General features: G+C 53.6%; 2 pseudogenes across 2 annotated transcripts, besides 2 other annotated features; one reads left to right on the forward strand and one right to left on the reverse strand.

The window, feature by feature from the left end:
* Positions 1–511: 511 nt before the first annotated feature.
* BCRP3 (BCR pseudogene 3) lies at positions 512–20,957 on the forward strand (annotated as a pseudogene). Its single transcript, NR_024494.1, has 7 exons — positions 512–1,040; positions 12,337–12,396; positions 13,233–13,342; positions 14,600–14,672; positions 15,795–15,929; positions 17,457–17,619; positions 20,603–20,957. The product of NR_024494.1 is annotated as a BCR pseudogene 3 (transcript).
* Positions 12,763–26,744, reverse strand: POM121L10P (POM121 transmembrane nucleoporin like 10, pseudogene; annotated as a pseudogene). The gene is made up of 6 exons (NR_024593.1): positions 20,648–26,744; positions 19,485–19,591; positions 17,756–17,958; positions 17,322–17,450; positions 15,751–16,665; positions 12,763–14,858 (listed from the first exon to the last, which is right to left on the reverse strand). The product of NR_024593.1 is annotated as a POM121 transmembrane nucleoporin like 10, pseudogene (transcript).
* Positions 18,453–19,220: an enhancer, noted in NCBI's record as "H3K4me1 hESC enhancer chr22:25046823-25047590 (GRCh37/hg19 assembly coordinates)". NCBI's record gives its function as "activates a minimal SCP1, AML or CMV promoter by ChIP-STARR-seq in primed H9 embryonic stem cells {active_cell/tissue: H9 hESC(primed)}" and the evidence as "EXISTENCE:reporter gene assay evidence [ECO:0000049][PMID:30033119]".
* Positions 24,500–25,009: an enhancer, noted in NCBI's record as "H3K4me1 hESC enhancer chr22:25052870-25053379 (GRCh37/hg19 assembly coordinates)". NCBI's record gives its function as "activates a minimal SCP1, AML or CMV promoter by ChIP-STARR-seq in primed H9 embryonic stem cells {active_cell/tissue: H9 hESC(primed)}" and the evidence as "EXISTENCE:reporter gene assay evidence [ECO:0000049][PMID:30033119]".
* Positions 26,745–27,535: the final 791 nt, after the last annotated feature.

Genomic DNA, 27,535 nt, shown 5'->3' on the forward strand with positions numbered 1-27,535 from the left:
GCCAGGCTGCAGAAACATAAGGACTTGAACCCGGGTCCTGAGTGACACCACCTTGGGTCCTCCTCCCTCTGCCTCTGTTCAGCTCCACCTTGATGGTGACTAGGCTGGGCCATGCGGAGAGGGTTAGGGGATAGAGATGGGAGCTGGGGAGCAGGGCTCCACTCTGGGAGGGGGGCAGCCTTGCCGGATCCAGGGCAGAGTTAAGCGGCCCCAGCTCTGCTTTCCTAGAGCTGCTGAGAACCCGGGAAATGGTGTGGAGGTTCCGGGGAGCCCTGCCCCTACCTGGCAACCGCAGTGCAGCAGGCACCAAGTTCTCCTGCACATTGCGACAGTGTGACCCTGGGCTCTGGCGGGCAGTAGGTGGGGCCTTTGGACCTACCAGCAGTGAGGGAGTTAACACAGCAGCTGACTCCTCTAGGCAAGGAAAACTCCCCTCAGACGCTTTGCTGCCTGGCCTCCTGCCAGCAACAAGCAGGAGCTGAAAACCAGAAGTTGAGGCGTGAGTTTGGTCACTCCGTAGTGTGCACTTGGTGAGGGCAGCAGCTCGCCACAGCTGCCAGCCGTCTGTCCATTCACCCATCTGTCCATCTGGCAGCCCGCTGTTCAGACCCGTCTGTCTGTCCGCCCATCTGTAAGCCCATCTCTGTCCCATTGTCTATCTGACCATCTTTCTCTTACTGTCCTCTTTGTCTAGCTATCTGGCCTATCTGTCGATCCATCTTCGTGTCTGTCTTCAGCCCCCACCTGTTTGTCCATCTGTCCAATTACCTGTGAGTCTATCTATGCACCTTCTTGTCCATTCATCTGCCCACCCATCTGTCCCTCCGTCTGCCCACCGGCCTCCCCTCTCCTTCTGGGCCGCAGAGCCATGGCCCAGGACTGCAGAGCCATGGTTGGCCTGGTCCTGCTGGGGCTGGGGCTTGTGCTGGCTGTCATTGTGCTGGCTGTGGTCCTCTCTCGACACCAGGCCCCATTTGACCCCCGGCCTTTGCCCACGCCGCTGTTGCTGCTGACTCCAAGGTCTGCTCGGATATTGGACGGTGAGTGAGACGTGGGAGGAAGCTGGGTGGCCCTTGGCAGCCAGCCCCTCCTGGAGAAGGCGTGTGTGTGAGAGTGTGTGTGTGTGAGCATGTGTGTGTGTGAGAGAGTATGTGTCAGTGTGTGTGGGTATATGAGTGTGAGTGTGGGGTGTGGGTGTGTGTGAATGTGTGTGATCGTGTTTGGGTGTGTGTATGTGTGAGTGTGGGTGTGTGTGAATGTGTGTGAGTGTGTTTGTGTGTATGTGTGAGTGTGGGTGGGGGTATATGAGTGTGAGTGTGTGGGTGGGTGTGAACGTGTGTGATTGTGTTTTGCTGTGTGAGGGTGTGTGTGACTATGAGTGTGTGAGTGTGGGTGTGTGTAAATGTGTGTGATTGTGTGAGTGTATGTGTGGGTGTGAGTGTGTGAGTGTGAGTATGGGGGTGTGGGTGTGTGTGAATGTGCGTGATTGTGTGTGGGTATGTGTGTGTGTGTGTGAGTGTGTGTGTGTGCGTGTGTGTGCACGTGCACTGGCCCAGGCAGCAGGAGCCATGTGTGTGGGCTTCAGCACCTGCAGGGCTTGAGCGCAAGGAGACAGCCTCAGGGCCCTTGCACAGAACAGGCGGCAGGGTGTGCCCGTGGGGCAGATGGGGACTTGGGGACAATGGTGGTGTGTGAGTCCATACCTGGCTCCAGGATTCAGGAGGCCCATTTGCACATCCCAGGTGGGAACCTGTCTGGCCCCGGCTGACCCTGCTGGCCGGTGCAGGCCCCTTCAGTGAGGCCAATTCTCCAAGGCTGCGGTCTTCTCCCAGGGTCATGGGTGAAGGGGTTTGGAGGCTCCCTGCGTGGGTACTGGCCTGCTGGGTTACACACAATGCTGCCATAGCCAGTCTGCCCCTACACCCAGCCTGGGGCCACATCTCAGGTCTCTCAGTCCTGAGGAGCCCGGTGCCCCACCCCTCACATCCTCTCTCCCTGAGTCAGGGCCTGGGTCTCGTGAGCTGAGTGACTGATACTTGGTGTCCTGGATGAGGGCGTGATGGAGAGGGGCCACAGCGGGTGTTTCCTGACCCTCTTCCAGGAAGGTGCTGCTGCCGCTGCAGGGAGGACACATACAGGATGCCCCTTCCTGCCCCCTGCCTCCCATTGGGCCCACAAAAGCCAGGGCAAGCCTCCCCTCCCTGCCAGCCACCTGGTCTGCTTCCCAGAAATTCTGTCTTGCAGGCTGTTGGGAGGATCCCAGTACTTTGTAAACTAAAGCAAGGGAGGAGTGGCCGTTCTCTCTGTTCATTCATTCACCTTTTCATTCATTCCTTCTTCCCTCCATTCCCCCATCTGTCCATCCTTCCCTGCCCTGATTGCTCATGCCACCGCCCCCCGCAGCCCCTCCTGACCTGGTCCTTTGGTTTCTCTTCAGGGATTTCTGTCTCCTCCCACAGGGCTGAGAATGGCAGCTCAGGGACAAGTAGGGGCTGGGGACTGCTTAGTCTCCCCAGTGGCTCTCAGGGGATTTGAGGGTTTGACGCCAGCTGCCACCCCAGGCTGTGCCCCTCCTCTGCTCAGGAGGACATACAGGATGCAACACCCACTTAAACTCGAAGTTGCAAAGATGCAAATGAGACTGGGGTCTCAGGCACCAGAGACCACCCGTGGGCACGTGGCTTTTGGGATTGGAGACCTGCTGCCACAGATCTCTGAAGAGTCTGGACCTGCTGGGTCTCCCCAAGTGACTCTCTGGGGGTCTCCATAGCATGCCCTGCTGTGTGCATGACGGTCACTGGTTGGGTAGGGGTCTCTACTCTAAAGCTCCCTCTGCCGGCATCCCCTCGAACTCTCCCTTGGTGAAGAGAGAGGATGTGGTTTGCCCCAGTGTTTTATCAAACAACTCTCTCCACTTCCTGTTTTAAGAAGCTGGGAGTGGAAGAGAGCCTGGGGCTGGCCCCAGCTGCTGCTGCGAAACAGGGGTCACTGGACGCTGGGACCCTGGCCGGGCTGGCTGGAGGCCTCAGGAAGAGGCCTGCTACAGTGTCATCCTGGCCAAGATTCCTCCCTGCAGAGGACCCTGGCCACGCTGCCACAGGGTCTGCTGGGGCCACCAGAAGCCCATGCTCCTGCCTCCATCTCTCCCCTCTGTGCTCACCTCTCACCAGGAGGCCCTCCCAGAGTTCAGTGTCCTGCTTTTTTTTTTTTTTTTTAGATGGTGTCTCGTTCTGTCACCAGGCTGGAGTGCAGTGGCGCGATCTCAGCTCACTGCAACCTCTGCTTCCTTGGTTCAAATGATTCTCCTGCCTCAGCCTCCTGAGTAGCTGGGACTACAGGTGCCAGCCACCACGCCCAGGTAATTTTTGTATTTTTAGTAGAGACGGGGTTTCACCATGTTGGCCAGGATGGTCTCTATCTCTTGATTCGCCCGCCTTGGCCTCCCAAAGTGCTGGAATTACAGGAGTGAGTCATGGCACCCGGCCTCATCTCCTACTCTTTCAGCACCAGGTTTTACTCTTGGGATTCTGCTACAGCCGCAGCCCCTGGGTGCGAGTTCCTAAGCTTTCTGTGAGTGTGGACCCAGCACCGTGCCTAGTAGACATACAAAAGGAGCATGGTGACAGTGAGGTCTGTCATCTCCAGCATAATGACTGTTTTGATCCTTGTAAAAAAGGTGATTTTTGGCTGGGTGTGGTGGCTCACACCTGTAATCCCAGCACTTTGGGAGGCCGATGGGGGTGGCTCACTTGAGGTCAGGAGTTGGAGCCCAGCCTGGGCAACATGGTGAAACCACGTCTCTACTAAAAATACAAAAATTAGCTGGGCATGGTAACGGATGCCTGTAATCCCAGCTACTTGGGAGGCTGAGACAGGAGAATCACTTGAACCCAGGAGGCAAAGGTTGCGGTAAGCCAAGATTGTACCACTGCACTCCAGCCTGGGTGACAGAGCAAGACTTGGTCTCAAAAAAAAAAAAAAAAGAAAGAAAGAAAAGTTTATATTTTTGTTCTAATGGTTATCTTAATATCGTCATTCTATAATTGTATGTTTTATATAATTATAATAGCTATATAAGATATAATACCCCTAGTATGTTGTTTTTTGGATATTCTACTTGCTCCTGATGGTTAATTTATATGTCAACTTGGCTAAGCTATGGTGCCCCGTTGTTTGGTCAAATACTTGTCAATATCTTGCTGGGAGGTTATTTCATAGATGTGATTAACACTGACAGTCAGTTGACTTTAAGTAAAACAGATTACCCACCATAATATGGGTGGGCCACCTCCAATCAGTTGAAGGCCGTAAGAACAAAAACTGAGGTTTCCCAGAGAAGCAGGAATTCTGCCTCAAGACTGTAACACACAAACCCTGCCTGAGTTTCTGGCCTGCTGACTGCTCTACAGAGTTTAGGTTCCAGACTTCGAGATCAACTCTTACCTGAATTTATAGCCTGCTGGCTTGCCCTACAGATTTTAAACTTGCTAGTCCCCACAATCATGTGAGCCAATTCCTCAATAAATCTCTCTCTATGTATAATCTATTGGTTTAGTTTCTCTGAAAAGCTTTCACATCCAGTTTCCTGGATGTTAAGAATTACTGAAACTAGCTAGTAACTTCTTTTTTTTTTTTTTTTTTTTTTTTTTGAGACAGAGTTTTGCTCTTGTTGCCCAGGCTGGAATGCAATGGCACAATCTCAGCTCACCGCAACCTCCACTTCCTGGGTCCAAGCAATTCTCCTCCCTCAGCCTCCTGAGTAGCTGGGATTACAGGCATGTGCCACCATGCTTGGCTAATTTTTGTATTTTTAGTAGAGACAGGGCTTCTCCATGTTGGTCAGGCTGGTCTTGAACTCCCAACCTCAGGTGATCAGCCGCCTTGGCCTCACAAAGTGCTGGAATTACAGGCATGAGCCACCGCACCTGGCTCCTAGTAAATTCTTCTTTTCCGTGATGTGTCTCTTACCTCTAATAATACTTTTCTTCTTTTTTTTTTTTTGAGACGGAGTCTCGTTCTGTCGCCCAGGCGGGAGTGCTGTGGCGCGATCTCCGCTCACTGCAAGCTCCGCCTTCCGGGTTCACGCCATTCTCCTGCCTCAACCTCCCGAGTAGCTGGGACTACAGGCGCCCGCCACTGCGCCCGGCTAATTTTTTGTATTTTTAGTAGAGACGGGGTTTCACCGTGGTCTCGATCTCCTGACCTCGTGATCCGCCCGCCTCGGCCTCCCAAAGTGCTGGGATTACAGGCGTGAGCCACCGCGTCCGGCCATACTTTTCTTCTTAAAGTCTACTTCATTAAAAATAGTTATGCTGGGCATGGTGGCTCATGGCTGTAATCTCGGCACTTTGTTGGAGGTCGAGGTGGGTGGATCACTGAAGCCCAGGAGTTCAAGACCAACCTGGGCAACGTGGCGAGACCCTGCCTCTACAAAAAATACAAAAATTAGCTGGGTGTGGCTAATATACACTTGTAGTCCCAGCTACTTGGGATGCTGAGGTGGGAGAATCGCTTGAGCCTAGAAGGGAGAGATTGCTGTAAGCCAAGATCACATCACTGCACTCCAGCCTGGGAGACAGAGTGAGGCTCTATCTCCAAAAAAAAAAAAAAAAAAAGTTATACAGCTTTCTTGGTTAGTGCATGCATGCCATATTTTTCATTATTTTCCACCTCTCTGTATCCTTATATAAAAGGCATTAGTTGGGTTTTACTTTATTTTCAATTATTTTAATTTTTATTGTCCTTTTAAATGTAACTAATGATTTATTTGGGTTGAAACCCACCACCAATTTGTTTTCCATGCCTATTCTATTTCTTCTTATCTCCTCTCACATCTTGTTTTGGATTTATTATTTTTATTATTTAATTTCCTCCTTCTCTATTAGTTTCATAGCTCTGCAGTCTTAGAGTTATTTTAAAAGATGACAGTGGATTATTTTAGAGCTTACAACATGCATCCTTCACTTATCAAAGTCTAACATGAGCTAGTACTTTTTGTTGTTGTTGAGATAGAGAGAGTCTTCCTCTGCTGCCCAGGCTGGAGTGCAGTGGAGCAATCTTGGTTCACTGCAACCTCCACTTCTTGGGTTCAAGCAGTTCTCCTGCCTCAGTCACCTGAGTAGCTGGGACCACAGGTGTGCACCACTATGCCCGGCCAATTTTTGTATTCTTTTTTAGTAGAGACAGGGTTTCACCATGTTGGCCAGGCTGGTCTTGAACTCCTGACCTTAAGAGATCTGCCTACCTCGGCGTCCTAAAGTGTTGGGATTACAGGCATGAGCCACCGCGCCCAGCCTATGAGTTAGTACTTCTATGCTCTTCCTAGTCAGTACAAGAACCTTGGAACAGGAACTAAATTTACCCCCAGTGACTTATATGCTAATATTTTTGTGTATTTTAAATATATATGTGTGCATAGATGTATCTGTGTGTTTTTTGTGTTTTTATTCTTATTTATGTTGAGAGTGTAGAGCTATGTAAGAGTAAAGAGAATTGTGTAATGAAGCCCCGAGTATCCATTCAATTTCAACAACAATCTCATGGCCAAGCTAATTTCATGTATACTCTTTCCTGCTTCCCTCTACCCCACATTATTTCAGTGCAAATCCCAGATATATAACTGTACCCATACATATTTCAGTATGTTTTATTTATTTTAAACCCCACAATATATCATTTTCTATACTACTGTAATTTCATACCAATAACATTCATTTAGATTTACCCACACGTTTACCTCTTCTGTTACCCTTTATTTTTATTTATAAAAATATCTTTGGGAAGAAATATCTTTCAGCACATGGTCAAGGATCTCCTGAGGGCTATGTCATGGGCAAAATATACATATATATTCCATATATATACACACATATACACACACACACATATATACACATATACACACACACATATATATATTCCACTTTCACTTTTTTGTTTGTTTGTTTTTTGAGACCGAGTCTCGCTCTGTGGCCCAGGCTGGAGTGCGGTGGTGGGATCTCAGCTCACTGCAACTTCTGCCTCCTGGGTTCAGGTGATTCTCCTGTCTCAGCCTCCTGAGTAGCTGGGATTACAGGTGTTAGCCATCACGTCTGGCTAATTTTTGTTGTTTTTTTTTTTTTGAGACGGAGTATCGCTCTGTCACCCAGGCTGGAGTGCAGTGGCAAGATCTTGTCTCACTGCAACCTCCACCTCTCAGGTTCAAGCAATTCTTGTGCCTCAGCCTCCTGAGTAGCTGGGATTACAGGCATCCACCACCACATCTGGCTAATTTGTGTATTTTTGGTAGAGATGGGGTTTCACCATGTTGGCCAGGCTGGTCTCGAACTTCTGACCTCAGGTGATCCACCTGCCTCGGCCTTCCAAAGTGCTGGGATTACAGGCATGAGCCACCATGCCCAGCCATTTTCACTTTTGAAGGATATTGTTAATGAGCATAGAATTCTAGGTTGGCAGATATTTTCTTTCCTCAGTTTGAAAACATGATTCCCTTGTATCTGATTTCTCCTGCTTTTATTGGGAAGCCAATTCTCAATCTAATTTTGCTCATTTGAAGGCAATGGCTTTTTCTGTTGTTGTGTTTTCTGAGGTGGAGTCTCACTCTGTCACCCAGGCTGGACTGCAGTGGTGCAATCTCAGCTCACTGCAACCTCTGCCTCCTGGGTTCAAGTGATTCTTCTGCCTCAGCCTCCCAAGTAGCTGGGATTACAGGTGTCCACCATCACACCTGGCTAATTGTTGTATTTTTAATAGAGATGAACTTTTGCCATGTTGGTCAGGCTGATCCCAAACTCCTCATTTCAGGTGATCCGCCCGCCTCAGCCTCCCAAATGCTGGGATTACAGGCATGAGACAGCCCACAACCCTGGCCTGCAGGCAGTATCTTTTTTCCTCTGGCTGCTTTGAAAAGTTTTGTCTTTGTTTTGAGCAGTTTACACTGATGCATTTAGGTGGCTCCTCATTCCATGACTTGATTCTTTTTTGTCCATTTTAGAAAACTGCCAGCTTTATCTCTTCAAGTATTATGTCTTCCCCATCCTCTCTCTACTCTCCTTATGAGACTCCAATTTCACATGACTTATGCCTTGTTAAAGTATCCCCCATGTCTCTTAATCCATTTCCTGTATGTTCTATCTGTTTTTCTCTTTGTACTTCAATTTGTATAGTTTGTATCAAACTATCTCCCAATTAGCCGGGCGTGGTGGTGGGTGCCTGTAATCCCAGCTACTTGGGAGCCTGAGGCAGGAGAATTGCTTGAACCCGAGAGGTGGAAGTTGTAGTGAGCCGAGATCATGCCACTGCACTCCAGCCTGGGCAACAGAGTGAGACCCTGTCTCAATAAATAAATAAATAAATAAATACCAGTTCACTATTTTTTTTTATGTTTGTGTCTAGTGTGCTGTTCAAATTGAGTTCCTAATTCCATTTTTTTTTTAGACTTTTTTTTTTGAGTCTCTATCTGTTGCCCAGGCTGGAGTTCAGTGGTGCAATCTCAACTCACTGTAGCCTCCACCTCCCAGGTTCAAGCGATTCTCATGCCTCAGCCTCTCGAGTAACTGGGATTACCACCACGCCTAACTCATTTTTGTATTTTTAGTAGAGATGGGGTTCTGCCATGTTGGCCAGGCTGGTCTTGAACTCTTGGCCTTATGTGATTGGCCTACCTCTGTCTCCCAAAGTGCTGGGATTATAGGCCTAAACCACCACTCCCAGCCTCCTTTTTTTTTTTTTTTTTTTTTTGAGACGGAGTCTCGCTCTGTCGCCCAGGCTGGAGTAGAGTGGTGCGATCTCGGCTCACTGCAACCTCCCCCTCCCAGTTCAAGTGATTCTCCTGCCTCAGCCTCCCGAGTAGCTAGGACTATAGGAGCATGCCACCATGCCTGGCTAATTTTTGTAATTTTAGTAGAGATGGGGATTCACCATATTGGTCAGGCTGGTCTTGAACTTCTGACCTCAGGTGATCTACCCACCTCAGCCTCCCAAAGTGCTGGGATTACAGGCGTGAGTCACCACGCCTAGTGCATCCATTTTTTGTAGTTGCCAGTTTTCTGATGAAATTCTTAATTGTTTCTTTATATCCTTGATATACATGTAAAGAACTTATTTTAAAGTACATGGTCTGATGATTTTATAATCTGGAGATCCTATGGGCCTTTTTAAAAGTTGTCTGTGCTTTCTCTTGAGCTTTTTTCCTGCTGTCTTATTTCCTTGTTTGCTTAGTTGTTTTTAATTTGGCAATGGAAGTTGTGTATAAAAATCGTTACAAATAATTTTTTTTTTTTTTTGAGATGGAGTCTCGCTTTGTTGCCCAAGCTGGAGTGCAATGACGTGATCTCGGCTCACTGCAACCTCTGCATCCCAGGGTTCAATTCTCCTACCTCAGCCTCCCAAGTAGCTGGGATTGCAGGCAGGTGCCAGCACGCCTGGCTAATTTTTGTATTTTTAGTAGAGATGGGTTTTTACCATGTTGGTCAGGCTGGTCTCAGACTCCTGACCTCGTGATCTGCCCACCTCAGCCTCCCAAAGTGCTGGGATTACAGGCGTGAGCCACTGCGCCCAGCCAGAAATAATTTTTAAAAATAATTTTGAGCCCCAGCATGATGGCTCATGCTTGTAATCCCATCACTTTGGGAGGCTGAGGCGGGCAGATTGCTTGAGCCTAGGAGTTCAAGATCAGCCTGTACAACATGGTGAAACCCCATCTCTACAAAAAATAAAAAATTAGCTGTGTGTGGTGGTGGTGTGTGCCTGTAGTCCCAGCTGTTTGGGACGCTGAGGTGGGAGGCTCACTTGAGCCTGGGTGATCGAGGCTGCAGTGAGCCATGATCCTGAGACTGCACTCCAGCCTGGGCAACAGAGTGAGATGCTGTCTCAAATAAATAAATAAATAAAAATAAAATACTTTGAGGCCTAGGGGTCTAAAATTCTGAGATCTCCTTTATGCATTTGAGTGACTGAGATGATCTGAAGCTGGATCCAGTGCTCCTGAGGGCTGCTTTATTTCTGGTTGACTGTGACTCCTAGAGTAAGAAACCTGCACCCCACATGTGGGGCATTATGGCATCCCCTCCCTCAGCCACATGAGTAAGTCAACAGCACTGCTCTAGACCAGGTGTGGTGGCTCACACCTATAGTCCCAGCTACTCGGGAGACTGAGGCAGGAGGATTGCTTCAGGCCAGGAATTTGAGACCAGCCAGAGCAATATATTATTAGGTTGGTACAAAAGTAATTGCAGTGTTTGCCTTTAAAAGTAATGGCAACCCTGTTTCAGCAAAATAAAAAGCAAAAAAAAAAAAAAAAAAAAAAAAGAAAGGAAGAATCAGCTGGGCGTGGTGGCTCACGCCTCTAATCCCAGCACTTTGGGAGGCCAAGGCGGGCAGATCATGAGATCAGGAGATCGAGACCATCCTGGCTAACACGGTGAAACCCCATTTCTACTAAAAATACAAAAAATTAGCCGGGCATGGTGGCAGGCGCCTGTAGTCCCAGCTACTCAGGAGGCGGAGGCAGGAGAATGGCATGAACCCAGGAGGTGGAGGTTGCAGTGAGCCGAGATCATGCCACTGCACTCCAGCCTGGGTGACAGAGTGAGACTCCGTCTCAAAAAAAAAAAAAAAAGAATCACTGCTCTGTCTCTCAGCCTCCTCTTCCAAGATTGGCCGTCGCCTTGAGGGGAATGCTGGCCTTGCCTGTCTCCAGCCCTGTACCTCTCTGCCTCCTATGCCTTTAAGCACATGTTTTCTATTTGCTGGGCTGTGAAATCTGCTCTTCATCTGATGGGGTTTGCTTTATAGGTGACTAGATCCTTTTCTCTTGGTGGTTTTAGAATTCGCATTTTCACATTGACCTTAAATAGTCTGATTATAGTTTGCCACGGCAAAGACCCTTTGCATTGCATTGTTTGGGGATATTTGAGCCTCCTCTATCTGGATGTCTAATCTCTTGTTAGATGTGAGTAGTTTTCATTATTATTTTATTAATGGGCTGGCATGTGGGCCGTGGTTCCAGGCAGGCTCAGAGGGGCAGCTGCCTGATGTCTGGACAGCTTCTCTTTCTGTCTTTTCTTACCTGGACTCTGGGTTGCTTGTTAGCTGCTTCTGCCAGTTCTGAGTTTTCAAGGGGAGAGGGGCCCAGTGATGGCTGTTCTTTGAAGGAAAGGGAAGAATGTCTCCTGTTTAACATGTTTCTATGTTTCCAGTTACTTGGTTAGTTAGTTAGAGCCAGGGTCTCTCGCTCTGTTGCGCAGGCTGGAGTGCAATGGCATGATCGTGGCTCACAGCAGCCTCCACCTTCCAGGCTCGAGCAATGCTCCCACCTCAGCCTCTCAAGCAGCTGGGACTGCAGGTATGTGCCACCATGCTTGGCTGCCTTTTTAAATTTTTTTTTTTTTAATACAGACAAGGTCTCACTATATTGCCCAGGCTGGTCTTAAACTCATGGGCTCAAGTGATACTCCTGCCTCGGCCTTTCAAAGTGCTGATATCACAGGCAGGGTTTCCATTTTTTAAAGCTCCCAGCAGTGGTATAAACTCCTCCTTTCCAGAGAAAGCGCACTCTGTCCGCATCCCTCATGTTGTCCTCTCCTGCCTCTGCTTAGGGTTCACTCCGGGGGAAAGTGCCACTTGAGAGTTTCCTTTTTGTGTGTGGTTCTGACTGACTGCTCCCTGCTCACAGATGCTGATTCTCAGGGTGGGGTCCCTGAGGCCTGGAGTGTGGCCTCTGACGACCTTCAGGGCCAGGTGTGGAATGAGAGCCTGTGGCCACATGGCCCCCGGTGGGAGACGTCCCGCCGCCCTTTGCTTCTCTGTGCCACTCTGGCTGCACAGTTCAGAGCCTTGGGAAATGTTAACCAGTAGGACCTAGACGGGGAGGTGAGAAGGGGTCACCCCCCAGGTGTGCCTGTGGTGAGCCTTCGTGCTGAGCAGGTGCAGGGAGGGAGGCCCAGGTGCACACACCTGTGAAGTAGGGGCAGCTGGCTGGGCTCCTTGACCTGCTCCAGAGCTTCTTATTTTCTGGCCACTTCACCTGCAGAAGGCCCAGGTGGCTGTGGCCTCTAGGGTCCCTTGCCTGTCCTCAGCTCCCAACTGGGAGGGGCAGAGGGAGGAGGGGGTGGAGACCCCAGGCAGCAGGGCTCTGGGAGCAGTGGGGCCCTGGGTCCCAGGGGTGTCTGGCAGGCCCCTCCTTACTCTACGTCTCGGCCTCTGGATGGAGGTGCTGGCTGCAGTCGGGCTCTGCCTCTGACTAAGGGTTGGGGAAGTGGCGGGTGTGGGCTGCTGCCCCGTGGGGCCTCTGAACAGACCCCAGGGCCTCTGCCAATCATGACTCCTTCCTTTCAGCTGGACCCGCAGGCCCTGCAGGACAGAGACTGGCAGCGCGCCGTCATCGCCATGAATGGGGTACGTGTCCGTGGGACTCTCCTGGCGCCCACTTCCCCCAGAAGGATAGGGTGGCCTCTGTTCATTTCAAATCAGTCAGAGGTGGCTGAGCCTGAGGCAGCATCTGAGAGGGAGCCTGGTTGGAGAAGGGAGGGCCCCCAAGAGCAGAATCACCATGCACGGGAATCGTCATTCATTGGCTGGAATGCAGTTGCCAGCCAGGCCCTGAGCATCCCTCCTCAAACAAAGGTCTCATGGCACCACCAGGACAGGTGGGGCCTCCACTCAGGGACCTGGGGGCTGCCCATAGAAATGGAGACCCCTGATTTGTCTTTAGGTACCCCAGAAAGGTTTAGACCTTAAAAGCAATGACACACCCAAAAAGGCCCGGGTATAAATGGTAAAATGTTAATATTTGAGATTCTTGGCTTTTTCTTACATTATTCTGTCTTTCCTTCTTAATTTTTAATTGTTACTAAGAGAAAGCTGGTCACAGTACACTATAATCTCAGCTACTCTGGAGGCTGAGCCAGGAGAATCACTGGAGCCCAAGAGTTTGATTACAGCCTGGGCAACATTGCAAGATCCCATATCTAAAAAAAAAGCAAGCAAGCAAGAGAAGCAGCGGGGATTTTAGGAGGTGCTTCTGCAGAAACCAGTCGTTTATATCATCTTCAACAATCCTGGCTCTTGCTGAAGTAGACTAGGGGCTTCCCCGAGGGGCGGCTCCACCTCATGCTGAGACCTCTGCATGCCTTGGGGGTGGAAATATTTGATGAGACTCCCAGGGGTCCTTGGGACCTTGGGCTGTGAGGACCAGAAGGATTAGAGGACTGTGCCCCTTCTCCCCACTGTAGATCGAAGTAAAGCTCTCGGTCAAGTTCAACAGCAGGGAGTTCAGCTTGAAGAGGATGCCGTCCCGAAAACAGACAGGGGTCTTCGGAGTCAAGATTGCTGTGGTCACCAAGTGAGTGGGGAGGGGCTTGGGCTCACGCACTGAGGGTGCCTGTCCCTTCAGCTGTTTCTGCAGAAAAGAGCATGTGTGGGTCTCTCCTCTCTGTGCATGGCCACTGCACGGTGAGGTCAGGCCCCAGGGAACACGGCGTCTTCAGCTACCTCCTGTGTTTCCTGCAAACCAGCTCAGGAATGTCCTTGCCACCTTGCTTGGAAGCAGTAGGCTGGCTCCAGGAACTGCCCAAGTGCAGGGTTTTCTGCCCTTGCTTGGAATTAGTCACGGTCCCAGATTCCTGTTGAATGGCCATAACCCCTGCCCCTTTGTCACGAGTCAGTTGCCAAGAGAAGCCTGTTTGGTTTGAGAGCAGTTCATGCAGACATAGACCACTTCCTCTGAGAATTCATTTGCTTCCCCAGGATGGAATCTGGCTGGGCCTCTGACCTTGCTGGTCACGTGGGCCGGGGCCTCCATCAGTCATACCCTGGACTCCTATCTGTGTCTAAACACCACGCCCCACCCCCAACTGCACGGCAGCCACTCGCATAGCACTCTGGGAGGGCTGTGGGCATGAGCAGCGAGGACTCCATGAGCAGCTCCCCCAGATAAGCCCTGCTAATGAGGGGGCTTGCGAAGCAGCTTTGATGTGCTGGTAAATCCAGGTGCAAAACAGAACTCAAGTTAGGGCCTCCGCACAGCACTGCGTTCTAACTGTGAAGGATTCTTACTCTAGTGTCCTGTGTGGAGGTATTGGAATTGTCCATTGCTAAGACTCAGAGGAGAAAAGCACTTAGCATCGCAGGACTTGGAGCACCGGTGCTGAGGCAACCCTTCATTCATTCGTCGGATGTGTGTTAAGGCCCAGGGCAGGGGTCAGGGATTCTCCTCTCACACAGCACGTGGGTGGCAGGACCAACACCGGGTCTGACCTCCCAGCCGGGGGCACAGGCTGCTAACCCCAGGCCTGGAATCTGTCAGATGCCCTTCCTGTGCTGACTTGACTTAGACAGGCCTCCTGACCTTCCCGCAAAGGTCATGTGTGATTCGCAGGGGTTCTGGCCGCTTGAAAGGTTCCTGAGAAAGCACATGCCATGAGGACAGAGCTTGCAGAGGGAGGACAGGCATGCAGAAGGCTCTGTGTGCAGCCCCAGACCTGGGTACCTTCGTCACCGTCCTCACCCCACCTCCGGGTGTGCAGATAGGGAGCAGGCCTCCTGTGTTATGGCCCAAGCGGGGCTGTTAGGACACTGAGAACATTCCCTCCTCCCGCAGGAGAGAGAGGTCCAAGGTGCCCTACATCATGCGCCAGTGCGTGGAGGAGATCGAGCGCCGAGGCATGGAGGAGGTGGGCATCTACCGCGTGTCCGGTGTGGCCACGGACATCCAGGCACTGAAGGCAGGCTTCAACGTCAGTGAGTGTCGGCCTGCGCAGGACGGGATGGAGGTGTGGGCAGTGGTGTCCGCGATGAGATCTCAGAGTGCTCCATGGCCCAGGCATGTCACATCCTTCTCTGTGTCTTTTCTTCATTTACTGTTTTATTATTTTAAAAAAAGAGAAAACAAGAGTTGTACAAACAGCTTCTATAGAAGCCAGTTTTTACACCATCGTACCCACTCATGCCACTTGGTGGAGTGGACCAGGGGCTTCTGTGGGGACTTGGCCTTCCTGCCTTGGGGGTGGACAGGAGGTGGAAGCCCAGGACTCAGTGCGGTCTGTCCACTGCCCTGTATGAGGATGTGGTGGGCAGAGGGCACTGATGAAATTCAGCGCAGGCCGGGGCTGCAGCATCTCCGCCTCCATCTCACCAACCCTCACAGGCCTTGAAGGACCCAGACTGGCCTCAAATGCCAGGGGAGGGCACTGAGACCCCAGAGGGTCCTTCCCAGCATCTTCAAAGCAACAGGATTTTGTGCCTGCAGACCCTTCTTTGCAGCACACACCACCCACCCTGACCAGGACCCCTAGAATGCCCAGCATCCCTGGGAGGGCCCTGTGGTAGTTTCAGCTCCCTCTGGGGGCCCAGAATGAACCTGGCCTGTGGTGAGGATGTAAGCACCAATGGCCAATTGGGTCCAAAGGAAGACACCGGTTCAAACACTGAAACCAATCAGATTCTCCCACGGCCTTCCTGCTATCAGACGACACTGGTGCAGGGGTGGTTGCTATGTACAGGGCAGAGCCACCCAATCCCCACGCAGGCGCTGTGTCCTGCCACGTTGGCCTCCTCCTGGCCATCACATCAGGCCAAGCAGGGGAGAGGAATGGGAATGCCCACGCACCCCTATCAACTCTGCAGACACAGAACCATGCACAGCTCTTGGGAGGAGTCAGATGAGCTGCTCAAAGCCCAGGAGGGACCCGCACAGTGGTCAGTGTGGCAGGGACGGTGCTTTAGCCAAGGCAGGGATGGTGGGTGACTCACTCAGGATCTTCAAGGAGGCCGCTGCATTTCCGTGCTCTTTCCAGATAACAAGGACGTGTCGGTGATGATGAGCGAGATGGACGTGAACGCCATCGCAGGCACGCTGAAGCTGTACTTCCGTGAGCTGCCCGAGCCCCTCTTCACTGACGAGTTCTACCCCAACTTCGCAGAGGGCATCGGTGAGCACTGGAGGCCTTGGCCTCATGGGAGACGTCTCCTCCACGTGCACTGCTGCCCTCGGAGGCTGTGAAAAGCGAGGTGTGGGAACCTGAGCTGTAACCCCTCTGCCGTGGTCGGCATTTTAACCCAACCTCAAAAAGCAGGGGACCAGAACCGAGCCTGTCCTGGAAGGCCTTGCCCATCCCCAGAGGGCTCCCCATCCCTACTCCTCAAGGAGACCAAGAGGCTGAAATAGTCAGCACTGCTGTGCTATGGGGTCCTAAAGTCTGCTGTCCTCCTTCCTGCAGACCAGGGCTGAAGGAGGGTGCCTGGGTGCTCTTGCCATGGGTCCTGGTCCAGCCAAGCATGGTTTCAAACATGACCTGACCCTTAGTCAACCTGGAGGCTGATGTCTAGAGCGGGTGCTGGTGCGTGCAGCACCTGTGGCCTCTGCATCACCCTTAGGGCAGGTCTGCCTCCCGGGCCCATGCACAGAGGACCTGGTCTCCCAGCCTGCAGGTGCCCCTGTGGTGTCCAGGACGACGAGGGGGTCTCTGTGTACTTGGTGGGGCTGGGACCCTCCCACTTCCCACCTCCTTGTGTCCCTCACTCCCCTGTTTCATTCCATGCTGAGCCTCCCCTGCCTTGGGCTCCCTGGGGAGGGGGTGGTGGCAGGAGTTGCCCGAGGGCAGCTCTGCCCATGAGCAGCTGCTCTAGCGGCTCCTCCTGCTGCTGTTCGCCGGGTGCTGCTGACCCCTGCGAGGTAGAGAAAAGGCGTTCAGGTGGTTCACACCCCACACAGGTGCCCCTCACAGGGTCCTCACTGGCGGCCAGCGCTGTGGGTGTGACGATGATGACAAGCCTAAACTGCGCAAGGACTCGTGTCCCGGGCGCTCCATGTGACCACCTCGGGAGAGGTCTCCGGCTTGTCGTAACCCAGGGGAGTGACCCACTGCCTCCTGCAGCTCTTTCAGACCCAGTTGCAAGGAAGAGCTGCATGCTCAACCTGTTGTTGTCCCTGCCGGAGGCCAACCTGCTCACCTTCCTTTTCCTTCTAGACCACCTGGAAAGGTAGCCCAGCTCTCTTGTGGCTGCCCAGGACTCCAGGTCTCCAGGCCGTTGGGGTGCCCCTCTGCTCCCACCAGACCCCCAGCACCAAGGACCTTTTCCCCCGACCCCTGTCTGCAGTAACTCACTGCTTCTAAGGACTAGCACCACTGCCACCCCCACCCCTGCCTCTCCTCTTTGCCACCCTCCTCCCTCTGCACTGTGGCCTTAACAAAGAGCTCAGAGCTTTGGCCGTGGCCAGCAGTGCACTTGGACCCCCCTCTTCCCTCCCAAGCACATCATGAAGACCTCCCCATCAGCCCAGAGCTGGCCCCTTGTCCTGGGCCACTGAGACCCAGAAGTACCAAGGCTGGAGTCAGCTTGCAGCACAGCCAGGGTCGAGGTCACTCCCTCCCTGAGGACTCTAGCACGGCACAGCCCCTCTGCCTCTCTCCTGGTGGTGGCGTTGAAACAGCACCCTCTGCTTCGGTCCTCTACAGGGTGGCAGAGAAGGAGGCGGTCAATAAGGTGTCCCTGCACAACCTCGCCACTGTCTTTGGCCCCACGCTGCTCCGGCCCTCCGAGAAGGAGAGCAAGCTCCCTGCCAACCCCAGCCAGCCTGTCACCATGACTGACAGCAGGTCCTTGGAGGTCATGTCTCAGGTATGGGAAGACAGTCTCCAGCCCATGCAACCCCAGCCTGACAGAGGTGGCCTCTGCCTGCCCCACCCCCAGTCCTGCCCATCTTCCGACTTGCATTGTATGTGGTGGTGGCTGAGATTCAGAGAGAGGGACTTGCCTAGGTTTGCATGGATGGGAGTGATAGGGGGTGCCCAGGCCACCTCCTGGTCCTGCTGGTGCACCTTGCTGGGGGCTTAAAACCACCCCAAGTGTTCGGGTGTGGTGGCTCATGCCTGTAATCCCAGCACTTTGGGAGGCCGAGGCAGGACAACTGAACCCAGGTGTTTGAGACCAGTCTGGGCAATGTAGCAAACCCCATCTCTAGAAAAAATACAAAGAAAAATTAGTCAGGCATTGTGGCACACATCTGTAATCCTAGGTATCTGGGAGGCTGACACAGGAGGATTGCTTGAGCCCAGGAGTTAGAGGCTGCAGTGATCCATGATGGAGCCACTGTACTCCAGCCTGGGGGACAGAGCAAGGCCCTGTGCATCTCTAAAATAAATAATCACCCCCCACCCAACAAGTCATGCCTTGTCAGGACCCCACCCCACCCCCGTCTCACTGTAAGGGGTTCATGACACCAGCAGGGGTTTCTAGCACCTGAGGTGGACTTGGGGGCTTGGGCCCCAAAGACCTCCCCACCAGCAGCTGTGAGCCCCCCTCTGAGCCACTCTCCTCTTCCCCACTCTGCGAGGGCAGGACGAGGTGCTGCTGTACTTCTTGCGGCTGGAGGCCATCCCTGCCCTGAACAGCAAGAGACAGAGCATCCTGTTCTCCACCGATGTCTAAAGGTCCCAGTCCATCTCCTGGAGGCGGACAGATGGCCTGGAAACCTCTGGCTAATCGGGCCATCTGTAGAGTGGGAATCAAGATTTTCTGAGGCATCCTTGGGCCACCCCCAGGTGTCAGGCCATCTGCCAAGAGACAGCGGCCCAAAGCAGAAGGACAGGTGGCCTGGGCAGATCCCGCCCAGGTCTGAAAGCCCCAGGCTGGCCTCAGACTGTGGGTTTTTTATGTGGCCACCCGAGGGCGCCCCAAGCCAGTTCATCTCGGAGTCCAGGCCTGGCCCTGGGAGACAGGGTGAAAGCAGTGGTTTTTATGAACTTAACTTATAGAGTCCAAAAGATTTCTACTGAATCACTTGTCAAGAAGCGCCCTCTCTGGGGAGAAGGGAACGTGACTGGATTCCCTCACTGTTGTATCTTGAATAAACGCTGCTGCTTCATCCTGTGGGGGCCGTGGCCCTGTCCCTGTGTGGGTGGGGCCTCTTCCATTTCCCTGACTTAGAAACCACACTCCACTTCTAACAGGGTTTGAGAGGCTTGGTCAGCACTGGGTAGCGTTTTGACTCCATTCTTGGCTTTCTTCTTTTTCTTTCCAGAAGGATTTTTGTGCAGAAATGGGTCTTTTGTTGCCGTGTTAGTCCTCCTTGGAAGGCAGCTCAGAAGGCCTGTGAAATGTCGGGGGACAGGACCCCCAGGGAGGGAATCCCAGGCTACGCACCTTAGGGTTCGTTCTCCAGGGAGAGCGACCTCGTCCCCCGATCCTGACCGCCCTTCCGGCCCACGCTCTCCTGTTTGGCTTCCACAGGCCTGGACTTCTCTGGCTTCTCTGCCCACACACTCCCTGCCCCCAGTGTCCCTGCCCCTGCCCCAGCACAGGTGACTTCATTTCTGTCCTCTCAGCTCAGTGGACTCGCTCATCTTTTGTATAAGTCTCCACTTGGTGGCAGCAGCTTGCTGATGACTTGTTTTAAAACTTTCATCCTAAATAACCTTTTGATACTTGAATATTTTTAAGTTTTATACATAGTTTCTAATTTTTTTCCGAACAGATCCAGATACCTAATAAGATGCTGGAATGTAATCCCTGGACAATCCGTGTCCTGGCAGCATTTGGTCTTCCTCTAAGCGCCTGGCTCCGCTGTTCTCAGGAGTGGGTTCTGAAGTCTCTGGAGAACAGGATACGTGGAGGGTTAGGAAGGGGCCAGGCCTAGAGACGGGAGACTCCCTCCCGGAGCAGGTGGAGGCACAGGACCATTCGCTACCCCATCTGCCGGCACCTGCGGGGGAGCCCAGGCATTCTTTGTAAGCCCTCCTGACCACCTGGCTCAAAGAAAACAGAAGCATGGAGGCCGCCAAGTATTTTCAAGAAATAATCCCATGAACATGGCATCACTTTTTTAGAAAGAGGGGCTTGGGGCAGGCAGAGGAGAGAAGGGAGATCAAACTGAGAGCCAAGTTTCCAGACGGTCCTGCAGGAGGAGAGGATGCAGCTGCCCAGAGGGAAGCAGGATCACATTTAAGGAAGTGTGTGGGGTCCCTGGATGACACCAGCACCCAGTGCGGCTCTGTCTGGCAACCGCTCCCAAGGTGGCAGGAGTGGGTGTCCCCTGTGTGTCAGTGGGCAGCTCCTGCTGAACCCACAGCTCACTGGGGAGCCTGACAGTGGGGCCATGTGCCTGACACTCCTCTCTGCTTGTGGACCTGGCAAGGCAGGGAGCAGAAAACAGAGCTACTTGAAGGCTTTCTGTCTGCGTCTGTGTGCAGTGTGGATTTAGTTGTGCTTTTTACTTGCTGGGAGAGCACAGCCACCATTTACAAGCAGTGTCACCCTCGTGGGTGGCGAGGACAGAACAGGAGCCTCTGCTCTCTGTACCTATCTGGGCCCGGTGGGCTCCCTTGTCCTGGCTTCCATCTCTGTCTCAGCGACCATTCAGCCCTGCACAGGAACACATGTTGCTTAGAAAAGCCAAATCCAGCCCTTGTCTCTGCCTCCTCTGGTCTCATGATGTGCATCTGTTACCTTGAAACTGGAAACCAGTCTATCAATGTCTGTGCCAATTTTTTATTCCCTCCCCAACCTCCTTCCCCATACGACTTTTTATTTATGTAGGATGTGTGCTGTCTAATGATGGGATGACCACACTTTTCCATGTTCTAAAAGTGCTCCTCTCCCACAGGGTCCCAGGGCTGGTGGTTGCTTTGGGTCTACAGCTACGTCTTACCCGCCTCCTGCCTCAACAGCCTGTGTGGTGGCAAAGCCGGTGTGGGGCTGGGGAACGCAGCGTTCTCCAGGAGGGGACCCGGCTCTCCTTCTGCAGTGCAGGCGAAGGCCTAGATGCCAGTGTGACCTCCCACAAGGCGTGGCTTCCAGACTCCCCGGCCGGAAGTGATGCTTTTTTGCCGCGGGCCCTGGGTTTGAAGCAGCCTGGCTTTCTCTTGGTAAGTGGCTGGTGTCTTAGCAGCTGCAATCTGAGCTCAGCCACCTACACACCACCGTGGCCGACACTTTCATTAAAAAGTTTCCTGAGACGACTTGCGTGCATGTTGACTTCATGATCAGCGCCGCTGGGAAGAACCCCAGAGCCGGTGGGGTGGGGCTGGAAGCAGCAGGTGCAGTGATAGGGCTGGGTGCCCAGGAGGCCTCAGTGCTCAATCAGGCCAAGGTGGCCAAGCCCAGGCTGCAGGGAAGGCCGGCCTGGGGGGTGTGGGTGAGCACAGGCAGGCACCAGCTGGGCAGTGTTAGGATGCTGGAGCAGCATCCGTAACTCCACTGAGTGGGGTAGTCTGGTTGGGGCAGGGACCGCTGTTGCTTTGGCAGAGAGAGAGGATCCCCACTGGGGAGAGGCTGTTCTGACTCTGCAGGTGGGACAGGGACAGATGGCCACCAGGGTGACCCGGCTGGTCTTCCTTTGCTATGCTAAGCCCTGGGACATGGAGGATTCCTGCCACACAGCCTGGGCCCGGGTTCTTACCTGTGGCCACCGCTCTGGCATGAGCCCCTCAGTCTTGGGTGGTTTCTGCCTGGTCCGGGATTTGGTGTTGCTGCTGAGTCCAGCCTTTCTGCCACCTCCGCATGGGCCGTGGGTGGTGATGTCAGCTGCCTCCCACCTTGGCTTCAGTAGCTCACCCAGCTTACAGGGGAGCTGCCCTGGGCTGGAGATGGGCATGCACCCTGGGTCCTACTTGAATGAATGCAGCTTGAGGAGACCCGGCCATATACACTGGGCCACAGGTTACCCTCGGCAATGCCCACATCAGCCGTCAGCCTGAGCCTCCCCAGGAGAGCAAGGCTCACACGACAAAGGCTGCCCGTGGCCAGTGAGGTGGCTGAGCCCAGCCAGGACCTTTCTCGGACTCCCGGGATGTGGCTCTGCTCGTGAGCTGCCTGGTCAGCTCTCTCGGGGTGAGAGGGGCTTGTCACACGGGCCCCTGCCTGCAGTGTGACCCTTCTCAGCTTCTCTCAGCAGCCCTGCCTGCAGAGTGTCACCACCACCATGATCATTTCCCTGACACTGCGAGGGTCGGGGGACGTCCTGGGTAGAGACAGGGCCCGTGGCAGCAGCAGGCTCAGGGGCGCCCTACACTGGTGGGCTGGGGACCTGGTGGAGACCACGCCAAGGGCTGGACAAGGGGACGAGCCTCCACCCTGGCCTCTCCGCAGGCCTCAGCAGCCCCTCCCACAGGCAGAAGGGTTGACACTGGGTTCTGCCCTCACTGCAAGAGCTGCAAGTGCCACGTGCTGTTCTGCCCAATCTGGTGTCTGCAGGTGAGGAAAGGACTGCCGCTGGCCCGTTTCTGAGTGTTCAGCACCTAAGGGTGACAGCACTGTCTGTCCCTACCCTCCGGGTCCTGTTTGAAGATCAAACCCATGCTCACAGGACAATTTTTTTTTCTTTTAGAGACAGGGTCTCACTTTGTCACCCAAGCTGGAGTGCAGTGGTGCGATTATAGCTCAATGCAGCCTCCAATTCCCGGACTCAAGGGACCTTCCTGCCTCAGCCTGCCAAGTAGCTTGGACTATAGCTGTGTGTTTTATTATTATTTTGTAGACATGGGGTCTGGCTATGTTGTCCAGGCTATTCTCAAAATTCCCGGCCTCAAGCAATCCTCCCGCCTCAGCCTCTCAAAGGTTGGGATTACAGGTGTGAGGCAAGGCACCCAGCTCAGCCACAGAGCCCTATTGCATCTCTCTTACTAGGAGCAAGAGCTGACTGCCCCCTCATCCCCATTCCAGAGTGTTGGGGCTGTGTTGAGCCGAGGCCGGGCCACTGGCATGGCTCAGGGAGCGGGATCATTCACTGCTGCCCCAAATCTGAGATCATTCCACCTTGACAAGACTTCCTCATCCAATCCCTTTACTTGACAGCTGGGGAAACCAATGCGCACAGAGCACCCCCAGCTCACTCGGGGTCTCGGAGCTGATCCATGAGCGGAGGCTGAGATCCTGGGATCTTGTCCCCCAGCCTCCCGGCAAGCTTACTCCCTTTCTGCTGAAAGAGATGGGGCCGGACCTCGACCAGCAGCCCTGGCCTGGACATGACTGTGCTCATGCAGGTATTGAGGCCGAGACGCCCTGGCATCATATGTTTTTCTGTTTTCTTTTTTTTTTTTTGAGACGGTGTCTCACTCTGTCACCCAAGCTGGAGTGCAGTGACATGATATTGGCTCACTGCAACCTCTGCCTCCCGGTTAAAGTGATTCTCCTGCCTCAGCCTTCCAAGTAGCTGGGCCTACAGGCTTGTACCACCATGCCTGACTAATTTGTGCATTTTTACTAGAGACGGGGTTTCCCCATGTTGGCCAGGCTCATGTCGAACTCCTGACCTCAAGTGATCCACCTGCCTTGGCCTCCCAAAGTGCCGGGATTACAGGCATGAGCCATGGCGTCACTTAAATGTAGTGAGAGGCCGGGCACAGTGGCTCATGCCTGTAATCCCAGTACTTTGAGAGGACGAGGCTGTCAGATCACCTAAGGTCAGGAGTTTGAGACCAGCCTGGCCAACATGGTGAAACCGTGTCTCTAAAAAAAATAGAAAAAAATATCCCTGCATGGTGGTGAGTACCCGTAGTCCCAGTTACTCAGGAGGCTGAGGCATGAGAATCGCTTAAACCTCGGAGGCGGAGGCTGCAGTGAGCTGAGATGGCGCCACTGCACTCCAGCCTGGGTGACAGAGCAAGACTTTGTCTCTAAATATTTAAATAAATAAATATGGCCGAGCATGGTGCCTTAGGCCTGTAGTCCCAACACTTTGGGAGGCTGAGGCAGGTGGTTCATGAGGTCAGGAGCCCGAGACCAGCCTGGCCAAGATGGTGAAACACTGTCTCTACTAAAAATACAAAAATTAGCCAGCTGTGGTGGCAGGCACCTGTAATCCCAGCTACTTGGGACACTGAGGCAGGAGAATCACTTGAAACTGGAAGTCAGAGGTTGCAGGGAGCCGAGATTGCACCACTGCACTCTAGCCTGGGCGATGGAGCAAGACTCCATCTCAAATAAATAAATTAATAAATACAGAGCAAGATTCCATCTTAAATAAATAAATAAATAAACATACACCTGTAATCCTAGCAGTTCGGGAGGCTAAGACAGGTCGATCACCTGAGGTCAGGAGTTCGAGACCAGCCTGACCAATATGGCAAAACTCCATCTCTACTAAAAATACAAAAATTAGCCAGGCGTTTTGACGTGTGCCTGTAGTCCCAGCTACTTGGGAGGCTGAGACAGGAGAATTGCTTGAACCCAAGAGGTGGAGGTTGCAGTGAGCCAAGATCTCGGCTGCACTTCAGCCTGGGTGACAGAGTGAGACTGTCTCAAAAGGAATAAAAAAAATACAAAATAAAAAAAATGTAGTAAGATTGCAGAGTCGTGCCGCGGAAGCGTGCTGGTCCTATCCATGTAGTGAAGGCTGATTTCATACACAAATGTCACAAGAACTTTTTTTCTTTTTCTTTTTTTTTTGAGACGGAGTATGGCTCTGTCACCCAGGCTGGATTGCAGTGGCGCGATCTCAGCTCACTACAAGCTCTGCCTCCCGTGTTTATGCCGTTCTCCTGCCTCAGCCTCCCAAGTAGCTGGGACTACAGGCCTGTGCAGCAGATGCAGGGGGGCCACTAGGCCCAGGCAGTCTTGGGACTTGTGTGTCTCCTGCTGTGCATCCATACTGGGTGCTTTAGAAACGGCAGGCAGACCAGAAGCCCCTGTTGCAAGTGAGGACAAAGTGTGGGAAGGCCGTGAGGGTCTGCAGTCCGAGATGGCCTGGTCCTCAACCTGCAGTGCACTGTTGATGCGCTGGAAGGCCGCCTCCTTCTCCCGGTCCAGGTCTTCAGCAGTGACCCGGTACCCCATCTCTAAGGGAGGTGGCAGCATCAAAGGCTCCCCTCGCCTGCGTGGCAGCAGGGGAAACTTGCATCTACGGGGCCTAGAGGCCTGGGATCTGGGGGAGCCACCCCTGGGGGCGAGTGTCTGCCCTGGTGCTGTATCTGCCGTCTTTTCACACTGGATGTGACCCGAAGAGACAGCCTGAGGTCCGTCCTCACTCAGTGTGTTTCAGGAACTGAGGGTCAGCTGGCAGTGGGATGAGGCTGGCCCCTCTTCCGCTTTCGTTCCGGGAGGCCTCCCGTAGAGCTGTAGGGGCTCGAGATGGCATTTCATTTGGGGCACGAGCTGGTCCGGGAGGTCTGGGATCTCTGGTTCTGACCTCTGGGCACCTGCTGCAGCTGTGGCTGAGGCCCAGAAATGTGAAGGGCCTCCATCCACTCCAGTAGTGACCCCAACGTGGGGTTCAGTGTGGAGGGGGGAGGGGCTGCTGTGGCAGCTGCAGGAGCAGAAGTGCCACGCCTTGTTCTTCTCATGCCTGCATCCATGCTTGCAGCTGGGAAGGGGGCAGGAATCAGCGAGGTGACCTGGGCTGAGTCCTGGGAATCAGAAGAGGTGGCAGGAAGGGGATCTGAGGAGGAGAACAGGGGGCCTGGTGGTCTGTGCTTCTTCCCAGACACGGGAGCTGTAGAGGGGACCTCTGCAGCAGATGCTAAGGGGGCCAGTAGGCCCAGGCAGTCTTGGGACTTGTGTGTCTCCTGCTGTGCATCCATACTGGATGCTTTAGAAACAGCAGGCAGACCAGAAGCCCCTGTTGCAAGTGAGGACAAAGTGTGGGAAGGCCATGAGGGTCTGCAGTCCGAGATGGCCTTGTCCTCAACCTGCAGTGCACTGTTGATGCGCTGGAATGCCGCCTCCTTCTCCCGGTCCAGGTCTTCAACAGTGACCCGGTACCCCAGCTCTAAGGGAGGTGGCAGCATCAAAGGCTCCCCTCGCCTGCGTGGCAGCAGGGGAAACTTGTGTGTACTGGGCCTAGAGGCCTCGGATGTGGAGGAGTCATTCCTGAGGGTGAGTGTCTGCCCTGGTGCTATATCTGCTGCCTTTTCACACTGGGTGTGACCTGAAGAGACAGCCTGAGGCCTGTCCTCACTCACTGTCTTTGAGGAACTGAGGGTCAGCTGGCAGTGGGATGAGGCTGGCCCCCTCCTCCGCTTTAGCCCCGGCAAGCCTCCCGTGGAGCTGTAGGAGCTGGAGATGGCATTTCGGTTGGTGCAGGAGCTCGTCCAGGAGGTCTGGGATGTCTGGTTATATCTGATTTCTGACCTCTGGGCATGGAGGTCTGTCTGCAGAGGCCCGGGCCTGGGCACAAAGGGAGAGAGGCCTCCATTGTCCCGCAGGGGCCGAAATGCAGACGGTGCATCCCCGGTGACCTCGGGGACCCTTCTCTGATCACCAGGATTCTCTTGGACTCTAGGGTCCTTGTCCTGCTCAGGCATCCCTGCCCCGCTCTCCTTGAGGGCCCTCAACACTATCTTCCCTGGACACAAGTCTGGGGACAGCCGGGTGTTGTGGACCCCAAAGGGGTGACTCCCGGCTCCTGGGCCCCACAGAGAGTCCATGTTCTCAGTGCAGTGGCTGAGCTGGAGGACGCCCTGGAACTCGGAGCACACAGCACTGGCTTGCTGTGGTACCTGTGCAATCAAATTGAAGGCAGGATCCCAGGAAGGAACGCAGGGCTTGCAGGATCACCGAAAACCTTCTTAGAGTTGTCTTGACACCACTGATGTCAAGTGTCCGGGTGCTTGTAGGATGGCCTGCCACTCAGTCCACGGGCAGGAGCAACGGGGAGATCCCACAAGCAAAGTGAACTGGGGGATGGGCTGAACGGGCTCCAGGCAACTGAGCCCTACTGGCAGGTCCTCGGCCTGGGCCCGAACAGGAAGGAGGGGCACAGAGTGCCCAGGTAACCGCTCCTGGGAGCAGTGGGGAACCGTCGGTTGCTTGAACTCTCGAGAGCTGGGCTCTGAGCGTCCTCGTCCAGCCGCCAACTCCGCCAAAGGCTAAGCCAGCAGTTTCTTCTGTTGCCGGGCAACGCGCCTTTTAAACCTGAGGGAGCGGGCGCGTGAGCACATCACGGCGCCCGTGACAGAGCGAGCTTAACGGATTAATAAGCGCAGCCAGGTACCCGCGCGAGGCACTTGCTGGCAATGGCGGGAGGCGGACGTGGGGGGTCATGCAATAGGTACTGGAAGGAGAGAGGCGGGCACAAAGGTCGCGGGAGGAACAGGTGCCCACAATGGTGGCAGATCTGCCCGTGGATCACTGAAGATTCCTGCTCTCCTGCTGAGGTGGAGATTGCAGTGAGCTGAGATCGCACCATTGCACTCCAGCCTGGGCAACAAGTGCAAAACTCAGTCTCCAGATAAAGAAAAGAAAAAGAAAAAAAAGAGGCCGGGCGTGGTGGCTTATGCCTATAATCCTAGCACTTTGGGAGGTCGGGGCAGACGGATCACGAGATCAGGAGTTGGAGACCAGCCTGGCCAACATAGTGAAACCCCGTCTCTAGTAAAAATACAAATTTAGTCAGACATGGTGGCACGCGCCTGTAGTCCCAGCTGCTCCGGCGGCTGAGACAGGAGAATCACTTGAACCCGGGGGCGGGCGGGGAAGGGATTGTGATGCGCCGAGATCGCGCCACTGCACTCCAGCCCTGGGCAACAGAGCCAGACTCTTTTTTTTTTTTTTTTTTTTTTGAGACGGAGTCTCCCTCTGTCGCCCAGGCTGGATTCCAGTG

This window comes from Homo sapiens, chromosome 22 (genome assembly GCF_000001405.40).
Source record: "Homo sapiens chromosome 22, GRCh38.p14 Primary Assembly".
Classification (NCBI taxonomy): domain Eukaryota; kingdom Metazoa; phylum Chordata; class Mammalia; order Primates; family Hominidae; genus Homo; species Homo sapiens.